This window comes from Homo sapiens, chromosome 4 (genome assembly GCF_000001405.40).
Source record: "Homo sapiens chromosome 4, GRCh38.p14 Primary Assembly".
In the NCBI taxonomy this organism is placed as follows: domain Eukaryota; kingdom Metazoa; phylum Chordata; class Mammalia; order Primates; family Hominidae; genus Homo; species Homo sapiens.
This window is the reverse complement of record NC_000004.12, coordinates 132,992,007-133,011,881: the sequence shown is the minus strand read 5'-3', so window position 1 is coordinate 133,011,881 and position 19,875 is coordinate 132,992,007.

The following is a 19,875-nucleotide window of genomic DNA, read 5'->3' as shown; positions in this document are numbered from 1 at the left end:
CCCTTAAGATTGGGGGAAGCAAAATTGGGACTAGTATTTAGTGCCATGACAGATTAATGCTATTTCCTTTCTATTTTTCATTTTGCTATTTGACATACTAAAATAGAAAATGGAGATAGTAAAGAAGGGACTTGTTTGTGGAAAAATTGGAAATAAATCTCAGAGCTTTGATAAAAGACATATTACTGGAAAGATTTGCATTGAATTATTTTGCCAAATTCAAAGCTCTGTATAAATGAGATTCAAATAAGTGTAATATTTTGAAAAAAGTTATCTCCCTGCTCTAATTTGTTTCTAGTAAATGCAAAAGCACTTTAGAAGAGTAAAAGCTCGGTGCTAAGTATCACTCTCAAAATATAGTGCACAATTTTATATTGAACTTAATCTTGAATATCTACATTGACTTCCCATAATATCCGGAACTTTTAAGGCAAACATTTTTCTTGCCTAACCATGTATTTCAATATTGTTTTAAAGTTTGATTGCTTTCCAGAAGACTATTGTCATCTTGCTGCTGATTTATTCACTGAAGAAGGTGTTAGAAGTGCCCAGCAAAACATCGTATGCAAATAGACCAATATCACATGCATTTGTGACTGATAGTGATGATGAAGACATTATAACCAATCTACTCCATTGTCCTATTTGCTTGGAAAATACTGTCTTTATTAAATCAATGAAAATGATTTATTCATTATTGCAAGTCACATAATATCACATATTTCACAAATGTTAAGGCAGTTTATAAGTAAATGTTTATAAGTAAAATTAAGATGAGTATTAATCTCACTGACTAATAAGGAATTTTATAAAGCACTTGATTATCTCATTGCTGTGAAGATATATATATGTATATATATGTGTGTATATATATGTATATATATGTGTATATATATGTATATATGTGTATATATGTATATATATGTGTATATATATGTATATATATGTATATATGTATATATATGTGTATATATGTATATATGTGTGTATATATGTATATATATGTGTGTATATATGTGTATATATATGTGTATATATATGTGTATATATGTGTATATATGTATATGTATATATATATATATGTGTGTATATATATATAGCTTAATCTATGTGGATGGGAATAAGTAAATAGATAAAGTGTTCCAGGAATTGGTTCCTATAAATTTGCTGAGATGGATTTTATCTTTTTTTCCACTTTAATTCATTATTTTTATTCCAACACAAAGGATCAAACAAAATAATTACCTGGCTTCTCTAAAAAGTTTTATCCTTTTCTAAAAACTTTTATGATCCTTTAAAAGTATTTATTGAGTACTTACTGTATGCTGGAAACTTTGTTAGGTACTAAAGATATCCAGTTTCCATTTATTTATCTTCATGTCTTACCCAAAGAAATTGTATCCTTCTAGTGGGCTCACTTAGTTATTTACTATAATTCTCAACACACTATCTTGCCTCACTGTATGTTCCTTCTGTATTCCATGATGCAGAAACTGTACTGGAGTTCCAGTGGAAGTGTGTAGAGAGTTTAGAAAAGGCCTTTTCAAAAAAGCATGTCAGCAACATTTTAATCAAAATATAGTATGTATGACTTGCAAATTATCTTTTTTTGTATAAACTCCATCACATATCTCCTGCGCTAACACAGAATATTAGCATTTAACAGCACATGAAACACACAGACACACACACACACACAACACACACAAATAGAATGAGACTCTTGGAGAAGTACTCCCTCCCCTCAATTTTACCCTTTACCATTGCAATAGAATTAAACAGTTGTTGGGCTTTGTGGAAGGAAACTGGGGTAGAAGATGAAGCCCTAGGTGAACATTAGGAAGATCATTGGTTCTAGTATGGGCACTGACTTTTATTGTGACCTTAAAACTTTTTTTCATCTTTATGCCTCGGTTTTCCTTTTAAGGTGTTTTCATACTTACCTTACTACCTCACTTATTAATGAAAATTATATATATGTGTAGGTATAATCCATCTTATAATACTTTTTTTTTACTTTAAATTTTTCTAATAAACATACAAAATGGCTGGGCATGGTGGCTCATACCTGTAATCCCAGCATTTTGGGAGGCTGAGGCAGGCAGATTGCCTCAGGTCAGGAGTTCGAGACCAATCTGGCCAACATGGTGAAACCTTGTCTCTATTAAAGATACAAAAAATTAGCTGGATGTGGTGGTGTGCACCTGTAATCCCAGCTACTCACGAGGCTGAGGCAGGGGAATTGAACCAGGGAGGTGGAGGTTGCAGTGAGCCGAGATCGTGCCACTGCACTCCAGCCTGGGTGACATAGAGAGACTCCGTCTCAAAAAAAAAAAAAAAAAAAAAAAACAGAAACATACAAAATTTAGTTAGCTATCTTTTGTTCCTTAAGAAGGTGTTTTATTACTGTGAGGTTGGTCACTACATTTAATATGCTCTACCATGAACATTTAAAAATCTAAATGAATATTTTGATTTAGTATTACAATGTCATTATATATGATATAAAAATAAGAGCCATTTCAAACCAATTTTTACCTATATATAAAGACTTAAATTTTTATTTAATAATTAAAATTAATCTGTTGAAAATGCATTATTTTTATTCTCAACCCTTCTTAATCTCAGTTATTATTTTCAAAAACTTATAATGAAGAATTGCTAAGAACAAGGAGTATTCTGTGTTGTAGTTTGACAGGAAGAAATATAATTCACTACATAAATCAAATTTATTATGATTATCATTAAGATCAAAGCAAATTTCTTTCCTTCAATTAAATGTTCTTGTTTCATAGTTAAAACAATAAATTTATAAATATGTCCTTTTGTATGTCTTAGGCATTTGATAATATATATTTATGAGTCAATATCATATGTCATTATAAAATATGTTTAACACGTGTATAGTTGAATACATTTACATTTCTAAAAGTAAAGGGTTCTCTGAGATCATTTGATAATATTTGTTAAAATACATATCGGTGAAATACTTTGCATTTGTTTCACTAAGTTTTTATTTTATTTTATTTTATTTTTTGAGACAGAATCTCGTTCTGTCCCCCAGGCTGGAGTGTAGTGGCGTGATCTCAGCTCACTGCAACCTCCACCTCCTGGGCTCAAGCGATTCTCCTGCCTCAGCCTCCCAAGGAGCTGGGGTTACAGGAGTACACCACTACACTCAGCTAATTTTCACATTTTTAGTAGAGATGAGGTTTCACCATGTTGGCCAGGCTGATCTTGAACTCCTGACCTCAGGTGATTTGCCCACCTTAGCCTCTCAAAGTGCTGGGATTACAGGTGTGAGCCACTGCGCCTGGCCCAAAGTTTGTTTTTATTTTTGCATTTCTTATTAGGATCTTGAGGAAGTGCAGAAACAGACTTTTTAACAGACTAGGTTCTTTGAATTCCATGTTCCTTGTTCTAGTTGAGGTTCTTTTGGTTACAAATAATGGAAATTCATTGAGCTACTTAAGAAAAGGGGAGCAGAGTGTTAACATTGTTAGTTCTTCAGTGTTCAGATATCCCCTAGAATAGGAGGACAGGAAACAAGAAATCAAGTGAATCTGGAATGTGAATTATAATCAGTTAATTCTGTTTTTACTTTTCTCTGTCTCAATTCTTACCTGCCTCTTCCTGTGTATTTTCTCCTGTAAAAAAGGTCCACTCCCCTCTCTCACTGGGATTATATTTCTCAGGTCAGCACTTTCTATTGTTAAAAGAAAAACTGACACAACAATAAAATCATAGAGTTAATTTGAGCAAACACCAATTCACGAATTGGGAAGCAATTGTTTACTACTCTAGTAAACAAGTTTGTTTCACACAGGGATATGTATTAGCAATTCTGAAACTACACATATACGAGGTTTCAGCAAATATGTAAATGTATTGTAGATAATACAAACCAATTTTTTATTTAGTTGGAAAAAGAAGTTTCAAAGGAGCAAAAGGGTAATAATGGAATGAACCCTGTGGTATTAACCCCTGTGGACTGATCAGATATATCAGTATGAACTCACATTTTGCTTTATTTTGGGGTGTGTGTATGTTTGACATTATTCATATATGTGATGTGCATATATATACATTATATATAAACACAGATTAATAAATAAATAAATACACAAATATATATAAACATGAGCTAGTACAGATAACATTTATTTCCACATTCTGTCGGTGGAGTGGGCCTACAACTGATGACACTCCGGTAATAAAGAGCGTACCTAGCACTAGGAAAATAGTTCCTAACTACCACTATTCGGTAAAAGAGACAGGGCTCCTTGGAAAAGTAGTTCACAATTTATTCCAAGTCTGGAAAAGGTAAAAGCCAAGAGGACCCTGAAACAACTCATCGTGGCAGAAGGTAAGGAAGGCTAACAACAACTAAAACACAAAGATGAGAGCATATCAAAAGTACACAGGAGACAATTTGTTTTTGTTGTTTTGTTTTGTTTTGTTTTTTAAAAATCTACCCCTCTGAAATAATGAGCAGGACCAGGAAGGAACTCCAGAGATGTTTGGTTCTCACCTAGTGAAAACAAGCGTGCATAAAACTACCCCTCTAAGATACTAAGTGGCCAGGACTGGCGCCGGGAATGGTGAATGCTGGTGGGAATGATACACAAGAGACAGTTTGAAAGAGACAATTTGAAAAAGCCCCAAGTGGTCAACGCTCAAACAGTTTGAAGACAAGTATAAATAAAAATAGTATTGGCTTTAGACTAAAGAAAAAATAAATATCCATGAGTGCATACTGATATAAAGAAATGACTGAATAAATAATATATGGAAGATGACAACTCTTACAGAATAAATCCATTTTTAAAATGTGAAATAAATGAGGAAAACAGAAAATCACCATTAGAATGCCACAGGCATAAATGCACAATCCACCATGAATGTTAAAATTAGTGGGTAAAAGTTTCAGGCAAACAGAATATTTGCGTAGTCTCCATGTAACGCCACATAATATTTATTAATTACCAAGGAAGGAGGAGATCTATAGTATATAAACCCGGGTTATGTTACCTTATCCAAGTGATGAAAGTTAGTATCACCAGTAGATGGCTCACGCCTGTAATCCCAGCACTTTGGGAGGCCGAAGCAGGCGGATCACGAGGTCAGGAGATCGAGACCATCCTGGCTAACCCGGTGAAACCCCGTCTCTACTAAAACTACAAAAAATTAGCCAGGCGTAATGGCGGGCGCCTGTAATCCCAGCTCCTCAGGAGGCTGAATCTGGAGAATGGCGTGAACCCGGGGGGCGGGGCTTGCAGTGAGCGGAGATCGCGCCACTACACTCCAGCCTGGGCGACAGAGCAAGACTCCACCTCAAAGAAATAATAAAATAAAATAAAATAAAATAAAATAAAATAAAATAAAATAAAATAAAATAAATAAATAAATACCACCAGTAGAAAGCCATAATATCATGTTCTCCTTGATAAGATATGATGAAAAAAAATTTACCTCTGTGGTATTGCTCCACAATTCATTACTCCAGTTGAATAACGAGAAAGCATTGAAATAACCAAAATTGTGGAACACATTACAAAATTCATGAACAGCACGCTTCAGTTTCTATGTCATGAAAAATAAGGAAAGACTGAGAAACCATCACAGATTAGAAGTGTCAAAGGAACAATGGAAACTGAATATAATGTGGGCCCCTTAATTGAAACTTGGAACAAGAAAAAATATATTATTGGAAAAACTGGTGAAATCCAGATTAAGTTCGTAGTTTCATTTACAATATTGTGCCATTATTGACCTCTTAGTTTTGACAAATGTGCCCTGGTTACATAAAATGTTAATATGAGGGAAAGCTGGGATGAGAAGTACACAGAAAATATCTGTAATATCTTTGCAACTCTTCTGTAAATCTAACATCATTTTAAAAATTAAATTAAAAATATTTAAAATCAGTGGGTCTTTGAATATGTGCCAGAAATGTGGAAAGACTGTGGGGATTATCTGTACTTTAAAAGTTTCAGTGAGTTATCTTGTAATATGAACTTCGTCTGGTGCAGAGTTTAGAGTTGTAATTTTAATTAGGAATTCAATTTTCTATAGTCTAAAAAATATAGACTCCCTACTACCTACCAACATTCTCACTTCCCATCTGTTGTTATACTTTTAAAAAAATATTACAGCTTTATACAGGTAAAATTGATGTTAATAAACACAATTAACAAGCATCATTGGCTAATTTTGATACATGTCTATACAAAAGGTATCCTCACCATAATCAAGAAGGTGAACATGCATCATCTCCATACTGCCTCATGTCTCCTGTAATCCCACCCCTCCCTGCTTCCTTATCCTTCCACCTCCCCAGGACAACACTGTTCATCTTTCTGTACTATGTTGGTTTGCCGTTTCTAAAGATTTATGTAAATGAAATCACACATTATTCTTTCTGACTTCTTGTACTCAGCATAATCATTTTGAGATTCATCCATGTTATTATGTATCAATAGTTAAATCTTTTTTAATTGCTGAGAAGTCTTTCATTATGTAGATATTACATAATTTATATTTTTATCTGCTGATTGCCATATGAGCCATTTCCAGTTTAAAGTTATTACAAGTAAAACTGCTATGAGCACTTGTGCACAAGTATTTGTTATGAATGTATGCTTTCATTCATCTGGATTTTATGGTAGACATCTGTTTAACACTTTAAGAAACTGTCAAACCATTTTCTAAATTGCTTGTACCATTTTACATTCCCACCAGTGGTGTATAACATTTCCAATTCCAACACATTCATACTATCATTTGGTATAGACAGTCTTTATAGCCATTCTAATAGAAGTATAGTGGTATATATTGTGGTTTTAATTTAACTTAGCTTTTCCTGAGTAATACTGAGAATCTTTACATATACTTTTCATCTCTTTATGTATTCTCTTTAATGAAGTATCTGTGGAAAAATTTTATTTGTTTAATTTTTTTGTTTTATTATTAAGTTTTGAGAATCTTTAATATATTCCAATACAAGTCCTGTTCAGATATCTTCATTATGAATATTTTTATCCCATCCTGTGGCTTGATTTTTTATTCTCTAACAAGTCTTCTACCTACAGTTAGGATGGTATTTTTTTTCCTTATTTCCTTTTCAATGTCTTATTATTATTTATTAATAATAAATGTCTGGTTATTTAAAGTTAGCTTTTTTGTAATAAGTATAGTTAGGTCTCTCTTGTTTTTATTTTTATTCAATTTTTTTATCAATTTTTTTTGGACTATTTTTCTTATTTATTTGTACTATGTGGAACACTTGCATATAATGTGTCTATTTATATTAGCACTAAGACTATGACCTTCCTTTTGGATTCTATTTGCCATAAATGCTCTTTGTTCTCTTTTTACTTTTTTCTACATTTTTTGATTAATAAATTTTATGATTTCATTTTATCTCCTTTGTTGGTTTATTATGTATAGTTCTTTTTTTTTATTGGTTTCTTTTGGATTTATCATATTCATCATTAATTTAATGCAGCCTAACTCCAATTGATATTATAGTATTTCATTTATAGTACAACAATCTTATCATAGAAGAAATTTTCCATTTCTTCCTTCCTGGCATTTATGACACTATTGTCATACAAGTTACATATATATGTACATATATGTTAACATATGCACACATACATAGTGACATATTAACACATATATTGACATATATGTCAATATATACATATGTATATGTGTTAACATACATGTTTATATGTGTATTAACATATATATGTTAATGTATGTGTTAACATGCAAATGTTAATATATGTGTGTTTATATATGTTAATATATGTGTGTGTTAACAAATATGTTAATATAGGTGTGTTACATATATATTTATATATGTGTGTTAATGTTTTGTATCCCACATATTTAAACAATTATCTTTTGAATTGATTTAAATAAAAAGAAAAATCTTTGATATTTCCCCTAGAATTACCATTTCCATTGCTCTTCATTTATTTGTATAGTGTAAATCCATATTTCCATCTAATGTCATTTTTCTTTTGCCTTACAAGAATTAACTTCTTTAAAATGTCTTATGGCACAAGTCTTCAGGTGAAAACTTATTTCAGCTTCTGCATGTCTAAAAAGTCTGTATTTTACTTTCTCTTTTGAAAGACATTTTCACTGAATATAAAATTCCATGTTGACAGTTTTCTTTCTTTTGCATTACATTAAAGATTTTTCTCTTTTGTTTTCTCACTTGCATTGCTTCCAATCTACTATCTTCTTTATCTTTTCTCTTACATATATATTTTTTCTCTGACTACTTCTAAGATTTTCTCCTATAATTGTTTTAAAGAATTTTAAGTATAATATGCCTAGGCCTTAAAAATAGCCTTGACGTTGCTTAAGACTACAGACATAAATGAAACTAAACTTGGGTCATTTCTGCTAAATGCTTGTGTTGTTGTCCTCCCTCTGTCCATGTGTTCTCATTTCTCAACTCCTGCAATTGTGTATGCAGGAACAGAAAACCAAACACCGCGTGTTCTCCGGGCGGCGGAGGTTGCAGTGAGCAGAGGTCACACCACTGTACTCCAGCCTGGTGACAGAGCAAGACCCTGTCTCAAAAAAAAAAAAAAAAAATCTAGGTTATTAACTTTGCAGCCTGTTTTCTACTATATTAACTTACAATTCTATTAGCTTTGTTGTATTATTAATTCTTTACAATAACTATTTTTTGCAAACAGTTGCATTTCTTTTATTTTCAATTTTCATAAATATTCTTTTTTATCACATTTTTGAATAAAGTCCTCAAGGGCCATGTTAAATTTACCATTTTGCCTTTTCATAGGGGAGGAACATTTAAAACTTCACCACTTTACCATTAATGATGAGAAATTAATTTTATACTTCCAATTTGCTGAGAGTTTTTATCCAGAATGCATATATAATTTTTGGCAAGTTTTTTTTCTTCATTTACATAGATGGTGTATTTTTTTGCTAGCTTTTTAATGTGTTGATTTACATTGGTTGATTTTCAAATGTTAAACCAAGCTGACATTCCTGGAGTTAGTTCTCCTCGTAGTGTTATATTTTATGTATTACTGGCTTCAATTTGCTGATATTTCTTGAGAATTTTTCAATTTAAATCCATGAATGATATTAATCTATAACTTTATCAGTAATGTTTTTGGAAATTTTTGAAAGCTGGATTAGATGCTTTAGGAAGCATTCACTTCTCTTCTAATTAATCAATGATTTTACTTAAATATTTGAAATAATTTACTAATTGAGCAATCTGGGCTTGGAATTTTTGTGGAAAGATTTTAAATTATAAATTAAAAAAACAATATAGGGGTATTCAAAGCTTATATTTTGTCTTTTGATAGTTTTGGTAACCTGTATTTTCCAAGAAAATGATCTTCTAAATCCCAAATATTATCAAAACTTACTAATGCTGTTTATAGTTATGAATTCATTATATATTTAATATGTATAGAAACTGTAATGATCATGTTTTAATTTCTGTTGCTAAAAATGTTAATGTCTTTTTCTTGATCAGTCTTGTTATTTGTCTATCAATTCCATTAATCTTTTTAAATAACCAACTCTGTCTTTTACTAATTTGAATTCTATTTCATTGATTTTTGCTATTCTTTTCTTTCTTCTAAAAACTAATTTGTTCTTAAATTTTTTTAATATAGTTTTCTGGCTTCTTTAATTTGCTCATCTGGCTTTTAAGTGGAAAATTTAGCTCACAGATTTTATACTTTCCCTTTTTTTAAAAAATAATGTAAGCCTTTAAAGCTATACATTTTCCTCCACGCAAATATTTAATTTTATCCCCTAATAATTTTGATGTATTGTACTTTAATTGTCATTCAACTGGAAATAATTTCTATTTTCCCTTGTAATTTATTTTTTTAACCAGTAGTTCTAGTTAGGAGAATATTGCTTTATTACTAAGTATTTTAGGGAATAACTATGTATCTTTTTTATGTATCTAATTTAATTTTGTTGGGCTAATAGTAGATACTATGTATGATTTCAAAACTTTGAAATGTATTCAGTTAATAATTTGCATATATTATAGCTCTATGGTGATCTGTAAATATTAATTAGACTAATTTAGTTGATTGTGTTGTTCAAATCTTCTACAATAATATATTTTTGTCTACTTGCCTTATCAATTATTGAGAGAAGGATGTCAAATTCTTCACTATTATTACAAATGTATACTTTTCTTTCTTTAGTGCTGCCAATTTTGCTTTCATGAATTTTGATGCTCTGTCATTTAGTATATATTTAGAAAAATTAAATTGACCATTTTATCTTTATGAAGTGCCCTTTTTTATCTCTGGCAATACTCCTTGTACTGCAGTTTGGTTTGTCTAATGCTAATATGGCCACATTAACTTTTTGAGTTTATATTTTTCATGCTGTATCTTTTTCCATTATGTTATCTGAACTTTTCCATGACTTTATATTTTAAAATGCATCTATTGAAAGCATGTTGCATATTGCTTTTATTTTTAAGTCTTACAAGTTATGTCCTTTTTAAAAACATGCAGTCCATGTCATACAATTTAATTACTGTCTTTAAAATTCAGCTACTTTTGCTACATGTTTCATAATTATTGCCTCTGTTCTCTGTCTCCTTATCTTCCTTTTCTGTCATTGCTTGGATTAATTGAACACTTACAGTTTTTCATTTTATCTAACTTATTGTATTTTTTCTATACTCTTTTATGGTGTGCACTAGGAAGAATGAGTTGTTTAGCTGCAGGAACAGTGGTACTAAGAATAGTAGTACTCTGAATTTTATAAGGTTTTAATTATGTTTATAAAAAGCATACAATTTCTCAACTAACAAGATGTTGGTATGACATTAACTGCTATTTTAAGTAAAATATATTTAATTAAGATTTTTTAAAAAGCAAAGGAAAAGTAAAACAGAACTTAAGCTCATCCAATCAGAAGGAGCCAACAGTCTTATACTTACATAACTAGAGACTTGAGTAAGGTGAAAAACAACAAAAAAAGCAACTTTATAACTGCAACCAATCAAATAATTGTTAAATTTGGCTTCTTCTTTTTCTCAATAAGCACTTGCTTCTGGAGTTGGGGAGGAATAGTAGTACTAAGCAATATGAGAACATGAGATCTGTGGTTAGATGTCTTTCATTAATTTTATAAAGTTCACAGCCATTACTGCTTCAAGTATTTCTTGCATTTTATTTTTCTTTCTTTCTCTGTTTTTATATCAGTTATGTCTATATTGCAGTTTTAAAAATCGTTCTGTCATTCTTTGATGTTATGTTCTGTTTTTTCATTTTTTTTCTTTTTACATTTTATTCTGGGCACTTTTTACTGACATATCATCAAGGTCACTGATTCTTTCCTTGGTCATTTCCAGTCTAATATGCATCCATCTAAGACATTCTAAATTTTCTTACAATGCTTTTCATGTGTAGAATTTTCTGTTGATTCTTTCTTAAAATTTCCATTTCTTGACTCACATTACCCATCTGTTCTTTCTTATAATAGTAAACTTTTTCTATGACAGCCCTTAGCATATTAACTATAGTTATTTTTAGGTTGTCTGTCTGATAACTTCAACATCTGTGTCAAATCTGAGTCAGGTTCTTATCTTTGTTTTCTCTCTTCAGGCTTTTTCCTCAGGGCCTAGAGCATGACTTGTGGTTTTTGCCAGAAACCACGTATGTTCATCAGATAACAGAAACAAAGTATAATGTTTCTCTAACGTGAGAATTTGTGTTAATTTAACTAGAAGTTGGGCTTTGTTTCTTGGTCTCTGCAATTTACATGGCAGAGGCTTTAAATTTTTCTGCTGTTCTTTTTGCCACTCCTCGTGACTTTGGCCTTCTTAAGTATTCCTTATTAGAAAGAGTCTGTATCTTGCAACTTTTTCAGCTGTTACCCACTATTATTAAATACATGAGCTCTGGTGGTGTAATGTTAACACGTGAGGGAGGAAGGCTTTTTATAACCTTAAAATTTATCTCAGTCTTTTGTGCGTTGTGTCTCTGGCCTGTGACCTGTGTAAGTTTTTTTTCTTGTGTATCTTTTTTCCCTTCTTATCTGATATAGGAATGCTGGTGGGGGCTAGGGTGGAAAGAATGACCTTCTATTAAGGCTCTAGAAAACTCTGGTACAGTCTTCTTCAGGATAGTAGGCCTTTGTTAATGTCATGGTGTTAATTCACAAGGATTACTCCTTTTGTCCCCCTTCTATAGTCATGGGGAGATCTTTCTCGCATCTTCGCCATGGTGGGTTGAACATAAATCTTATGAAAGTGAGGGGTCCTCTGAAGGCTACAGCCCCTAGAATTTTCTCATATTCAATGTAGCCCACACTCACCCACCAATTACTTATCAAAACTACTATTCATTTGGTTCCAGTGGCTTCTGCTCCATGTAAAGAGATCTTGACTATTACTTTAGGTTCGCTTGTTTCTCCAGATTTCAGGAAAGCAGTTCGTCCTGCTACGTCAATTATCTGATGGATATTAGAAACATTATTGATTTTTAGTTTGTTCAGCTATGATTGTTCCATAAGGAATGGAGTGGTGTCTTCAAAGTTCTTTGTATAATGGAAATAAAACTAAGAACTCCTGCTATTAGTTTTTTTGAGCCAAATTATTAATTATATCTCAAATATATATTAAGAGTAAGTTTCTTTTCTACTTGGCATCCTGTCAAGAGATTTTTGAAGAGCAAGTTACAAACAGGTGTTTTTGTTTGTTTGTTTATTTTTGTTTGTTTTACAAGGTGGTTTAGAAAGTCTTAATCTTGGTAAGAAACTTTCAGTCTCACTTCCCAATCATTCAGTGGCTTAGGTGTCTTTTTGGCCATCTTGGTCTTCATGGGTTTGGTTTTCTCTGGTGCTAATTCTGCAGGTGCAGAGAATGCAAGATTTGTGTAGGCATGACTTCTTCCACCTAGATTTTAAAGGATGTTGTGGATAGTCTCGGGCCAGGCAGAGACTTCTCACAGGAAAGGAGCCACTGTGGAAAGTCCCCACTAAGGCAATGTTTAGTAGATCCACAGAATCAGGGCCACCCCAAGACACCAGAACTGTAGAGTTACCAGTGTGCAAAACCAATCTGAGGGAGCTGCAGGCAGAAGACACTAAACTGTGAGAGATACAGTGTGGCCTGTGTTCAGCAAACCCATAAAGGCAGGACTGTGAAAGGTTTTGTGGCCCAATCCTCACCCCACTAGAATATAGGATACAGAGTCAAAAAAGATTATTTTCCAGCCTTAAGACTTAACGTTGTTTTCCCCATTGGGCTTTGGACTTATTAGGGACTGCTTTCTTCTTGTGTATTTCTCCCTTTATGAATAGGAATGTCTATTTTATGCTTGTCCCACCATTGTATATTGGGAGCACATATCTTGTTAATTTCACAGGTTCATAGCTGAAGAGAAATTTATTTTAGGATGAATTATGACTTAAGTCTCACCCATATCTAGCTTAGACATGACTCTGGCCTTTGGACTTGTATATTGATGCTGGAATGAGTTAAGACTTCTGAGACTATTGGAATGGAATGAACATATTTTGCATTGTGAGAAGGATGTGAATTTTGGGAACCAAGGGCAGTATACTGTGGTTTGAAGGTATCCCCAAAGGTTCATGTGTTGGAAACTTAATTTCCAATGCAACAGCATTTGAAAGTGGGGCTTAATAAGACATGATAAGGTTATGAGGTTTCTGCATTAATGAAAGAGTTTGTCTTTATTGAGGGAGTGAGTTAGTTATCACAGGAGTAGATGTGTTGTAAAAGGGATTTCATTCCCCACTTGCTTTCCTGCTCACATGCTCTCTTATCTTTGCAAGCCTTCTGCTATGATCTGATGCAGCATGAAGGCCCTTGCCAGATTTTGGCACTTTGATATTGGACTTCCCAGCCTCCAGAACTGTAAGAAATATCTTCCTTTATTATTTAAGAGATAGAGTCTCACTCTGTCACCCGGACTGGAGTACAGTGCCACAACATAGCTCACAACAATCTCAAACTCCTGGGCCCAAGCTATCCTCCTACCTCAGCCTTCCAAGTAGCTGGGACTATAGATCTGAGTCACCATGCCTGGATAATTAAAATACATTTTTTGAGGAGGTAGAGATGGGGTCTTGCTATGCTGCTCAGACTTGTCTCAAACTCCCGTCCTGAAGCCATCATCCTGCCTTGACCCCCCCCACCAAAAGTGTTGGGATTACAGGTGTGAGCCACCACACCTGGCCATAAATTTCTTTTTTTAATAAATGACCCAGTCTGTGGTATTTTGATATAACAACACAAAACAAAGATAATCATTGACTTGGTTAATTGAAGTCTGTTCAAAACTACTCTATACACATCATTAATTTTAGAAGACACAATTTCTGACTCCTGCTTTGAAGGTTATCTTCAGACCCAAGACTTAATCCAAACAAGCGGAAGTGGTGTAGTGTGGATATAGTCAAGCACTTCTACCCAGTATGGACCTAATTACTGGATTAAACATACTTTGTCTGATGGCAGTTTCTCTTGCCCAATAAATATAAGGAGCCATCTCTGACTTATGTCTAATGTTCTGGGATCAAGTTTCTCCAACCAGAGTTCTTTTACCAGTATCTTAATCTACATTCCTAAGAAAAATGTTCTGAGATGAAAATGACCTTTATAATCTAAGAAACACATCTTACTTTAAGACTTCCCCCCATTAATAAATTGTCCTTTCTTATCAAAAAAGTAGAATTTCAAGTTGAATTTAAATTTAGAAATCATGCAGTGTAACCTACATTTCACATTCAAACTTTTGTTACAATATCCCTAAAATGTAAACTGCTGGCTTCTAGTAAAGGAAAATGTGCGACCTTCAGAAACACATAAAGCAAGGTATTTCCAAGGTAGAAGATGCAAAGAACTGTGAATCTGAGATGTCCAGTTAATTTTGTTGCAGCACAAAATAAAATCCATTCAGAATATATCCACATTTATTTATCCCCACTGCACAGACCTACCCCAAGCCACTATCTGCAAATTTCCTATAATGTTGGGATAACTTTTGACAGAACCTTCTCTGCTCTGTCCCAGCTCTTATCCTTTCTCCCTGCAATAGAGAGAGCAATCTCATTAAAAAAGCTAATTAGATATTTTTATCTTGTCTGCTTAAAATTCTTCAATGAGGTTCTATGGAACATGAATAAAATTCAAACTGATCTTGAAACAAAATTTAAACTCTTCGCCATGTTCTACAAAGTCTCTGCATAGTCTTCAGTTTCAACATTCTCCCCAGATTCCTATATTTTACCTATGTGGGCCATAATTTCCTCAGACACACCAGCCCCTTCCTCAGCAGAATACCTTTGCATATGTCATTCCCTCATATTTAAGTATAATTTTCCTCCAGATTTCTGCTTATTTCTGCTCCAGAGAGTCTCTGACTAGTGTCTGACTAGAAAATTATTTTAATACTTTTCTTCTTCATCCTATATTGTTCCTAGCCCAGGACTCTATTCATTTTCTTCATAGCCCATGTCCTAATTTATTATTATAAAAGGATAAGTGGACACATTTTTGAAATGACATGTTTTGCCTTTTAGACTTTGAACCCATGAAACCATGTTGGCAGATAAATATCTAATTTATTATTATTATTTAACCGCCATAGTATCAGAGCACAGGAAAGTGCCTGGCAAGTGATAGACATTTACTAAATATTTGTTGAACCAGCTTTGGAATTATTTTGATTAAAAAGATGTAATGTGCAAGGAAGTATTAATAATTGTGTTCAATAGTGTAAAATCGAGTTCATATCTATAAGTAGCTCCTTGGTGAACAGTTGTAAATTCATAGCTTATAAAATTATTGCAATTATTAGGTATGTATATACAGAACAATGCTAAGGACAAAAATATTGCTTGACTTACATGTTAATATTTATCTTATCATTCAAAAGATTATAGTTTAGTTTCTTTTTTTGTTCTGGTCAATCAACAAACAAGGAGTAAGCTTCTAGATTCCCCATGGCATATAGAAGGAGTTTTAGTTCCTTTTTTTCTTATCCTTGGTACTGAATTCTAGAAGATGGTCTCAATCTTTAATGAAAGTTTGACAACGTTATTTCAAATCACTGTTCCTCAAAACTCCTTAGTCTTCAGGCATAATACATCTTCACCTTGTGATAGGAAGAAGAATTCAATATCTTTATTTTGGCCATATTAACTTTGAAATATTATTATATATTCAAATTAAGTTGTCAAGTCACATTGGATATGTAAATCTATTTCTCAGAAGAATTGTTAATGGCACAAATAGCTATTAGTGTTACCTATTATTACACTGAGAAAATAATTTTACTTGTCATTTCACAATCAGATCATATTATTATTATATATGTATGTTTTTATAAAACAAATTAAGATTTTGTTTTAATAATATAGTTACTGCTTTCTAAAAAATAGTTGATTAACATTCTTACTGTGTGTGTGCCTATTGTAAATAATGCATTTAAAAAATAGTGTTTTAAAACTCATGTAAAAATTGTGGATATTTATTTTGGTCTACTTTTTATACTCATTATTTAAGTAGTATTTGTTTGGAGATTACCAGGTTTCTTATATACTCACACTATTTGCAAACAATGAAAATATTGTTCTTTCTTTTTAAATATTTTTATCTTATATTTTTTATTAAATTGCACTATCTATACCTCAGATCTATTCAAATATTTTAAATTCTACATCTTATAATCTCATTGCATAGATCTCTTGAGGTCTGTTTTTATTATTTGTTTTTCCCTTAGTATTCTCATTATCTTATCACCATATATTTTGTTCTTTCTTGAATTATGAAAATTTTATATGAAAAATTATGAGATAAATTTGAAACTTGGAATGTTACTATCTTTTGTCAAAGATTATCTCCTTGACCAAATTCTAGCCAGGCTCCTCTGAGTCCTCTAAGGTCCCTTCTGAGGCCTCAGAATTGATCTATTAAGACTTGAAAAAAACACTAATGTAATTTCTAACAGCTGAAGGCTGAGTTCTTAGGATAATCATAGCTCCCCCTTAAAGTGCATGCCAGAGAAAATTCAAGGCTGCCGAAAGAGTTTATTGTTTGTTCTAGCCAAGACCTGAGGATAGGGCCCCTGTCTTCCAGTCCCTGGAGGGGCAGGAGTCTGACTTCCATAAGCTCCAATTAACAAATGCCAGTGGATTTCACATGAACCTACACCCCTCCTTCCCAATTTTTAGAAGTTTTCATTCTCTTACCTCTACTAATCCTTTGCTTGCCTCACTTCCTATTTTCTCATTGTTCCTATAAAATGCGAAGTCACTTAAGTACAAATTGAACTTGACTTCAGTTCACACTAGATTCTTTTCCTTATAACATATTACTGATTAAAATAGTATAGTACTGAGTAAAATCTATTCTTACTACTCTAACTAGTGTCCAGATTTATCTTTGACACTCTCCAGGAATGATTTACATTTGCTTCTATTAAGTGACCAGGCTTATGCAATTTTCTTACAGCAGTTTCAGGGATTGAGATAATATGAAACTGAGTTTTGACCCTATTAAGGCCAATCTCCTTTGCTTACCCTCATTCTTGGATATAGCTTGTCAATTTTTGGTTCTCTGTCTGTTCCAGTTTTGTCTTTTGACCACTTCATTTGGAATTGGCAGATTCTTCTAGAGGAAATCTGAGGCACTGGGTTTGTCTCTTGTTTCCTTCTTCTGTCAGATATTGGCCCCTTTTCTTCATGGTCACCTTAGCTCCCCAATCTTTTCAAAGTAGATTTTTTTTAACAGTTTTAATCATTTTCTTCATAGGTGTTTATGAGGATTGAAAAAATTAATTTTCACAAGTAGGTGACTTCACAGAATATAACACTAAACTATTAACACCATATTTTCTTGGCTTATAAAAATCATTATACATTTGTAATTATAATAATTGAATAAATATAATTATAATAGAATATGATATATAATTAGTCTACTAGTAATACTAGACAATTAGTGCTATACTTTCTAGTGCCTCATGGCTTCTACAAATTGTTATGTATTTTTTCTTCTTGTTCCTTTACTGTCTATTCCCCTTAATTTGTCACACCTTCACATTCCTTAGGAAAGTAGATCAGGGTGGTTAAGTTAATTTTTATCCAGATAAAATGGAATTAATTTATAGTACCTGCAAGATAATGGAAAGCCAGCCTGTAGATCTTTGAGCTACAATGTTCCAATAAGCTTGGCCTTGGTAATCATTATTGCATGATATAAACAGAATGCCTTATGCTCAAAAGCACCTCTGCATGGCTTGTTAAATGTGACATGGATTTATATCTCCCCAGAAGACACTTTACTTGGCAGAACTACCTTCTCTTACATGTAGGTATATATTATCGTGTAAAACAATGTATGCTTTTGTACAAGAGCGTCATTAAAAGACATAGGCATGAAAGACAAGGTCCCTCTAGGCTGACATAGTGCCGTCTGCCACCAATCAGGTACACAACTTTCTGTTAAATGTTCAGCAAGCCAAGCCACTACCCTGAAGCTTCCATTTATTATTTCAGTTTCTCCCACTTAAATATAAATAGCCATCAAAAGATTACCAAACATCTGAAGAAAATTTAACACAAAAAACAAAGCCAAAAAGAAAAAGAAAAACAATACATTTTGGATAAAACAAAAAACAATATAGAGAGCTAAGGAAAAAAAAATAAAAAAGAATTAACATCCTCTGAAAAATCAGAGCAGATCTCTGATACATGGAAAGAAAACCAGTCCAGACAAGTTGAAATGGAGAAGTTTGTTCCAAGGACCAGCAGTCCCAACTGAGGACAAAGAAGAATATTAGTAACAAAAAAGGGAAAATCTATAAATTTAATAGTATAAGTCCGCAAGAATCCTTCCCATAAATGTGTTTGTGAATTCCAGCTACCAGGGTTATCCCTTTAGGCAGAAGTATAAAAAACAAAGAAACAATGGGGTTTTGTTGTTGTTACTGAGTCAGTAATTTGCAGGAAAAGGCCAAGGCTTCCTTTATTTTGAAAACTACAGCTGGACCAACTGGACAGGCTACTCAGGCTTTTTTTTTCTTTTCTGGGTACGAAGTAGGTATGTGTTTTTCTGTATCTGTGTGCATTTACCCCCATCTGTGTGATAAAATGCAAATCTAATTGTCATGATGCCATGGCAAGGTATAAGCTGCTTTCACACTTCAAATATGGTTAAGATGTTGTTCCAAATATATATAAATCTGTTTTATTAAAATTAATCACTTCTTTGGAAAATTTGAGTCTGAAGTATTTTGAATGTCCAATAAACTGAATAAAGTCACTGGAAACCTGTATTGACAATTATTTTTTTAAAAAAGAAAAGAGCATGCAGGAAGAAGATTTTCAGAAAATTCCTAAACAAAGCTTACATTTTAATACTAAGCTCTAGTTTTTATTTACATTAGTAAAGAAAATTAAATATAAAAATCATTTTGATTATTATCAAGATTATATAACTCCACAACCATAAAATAAAATTTTCTGAGGTTTCTGGGCTAAACATAAATTAAGAAGTCACTAAGTCCTACTCTCAAAAAGCTGGATTTCAGAGAAAGTAAATGACTTCCTAGAATCCCATAACTTCTTATGACAAAGCCCAAACAGAATCTAAATTCTTATATAATCCTAATCACATGGCTTTTTCAAATCATCAGGATATTTCAATAACACTTTCTGTTTGAAAAACTGAAATACTACTGTTTCTTTATTAGACTTGCTTTCAAATTTCCACTCCTTTACTCAAACGTCACTAGGAAAATAATATTTTAGAGTTTTTAGTATGTAAAGTTGAAGTCTTGATTTTTTACATTTTGTGTTTTATGTATT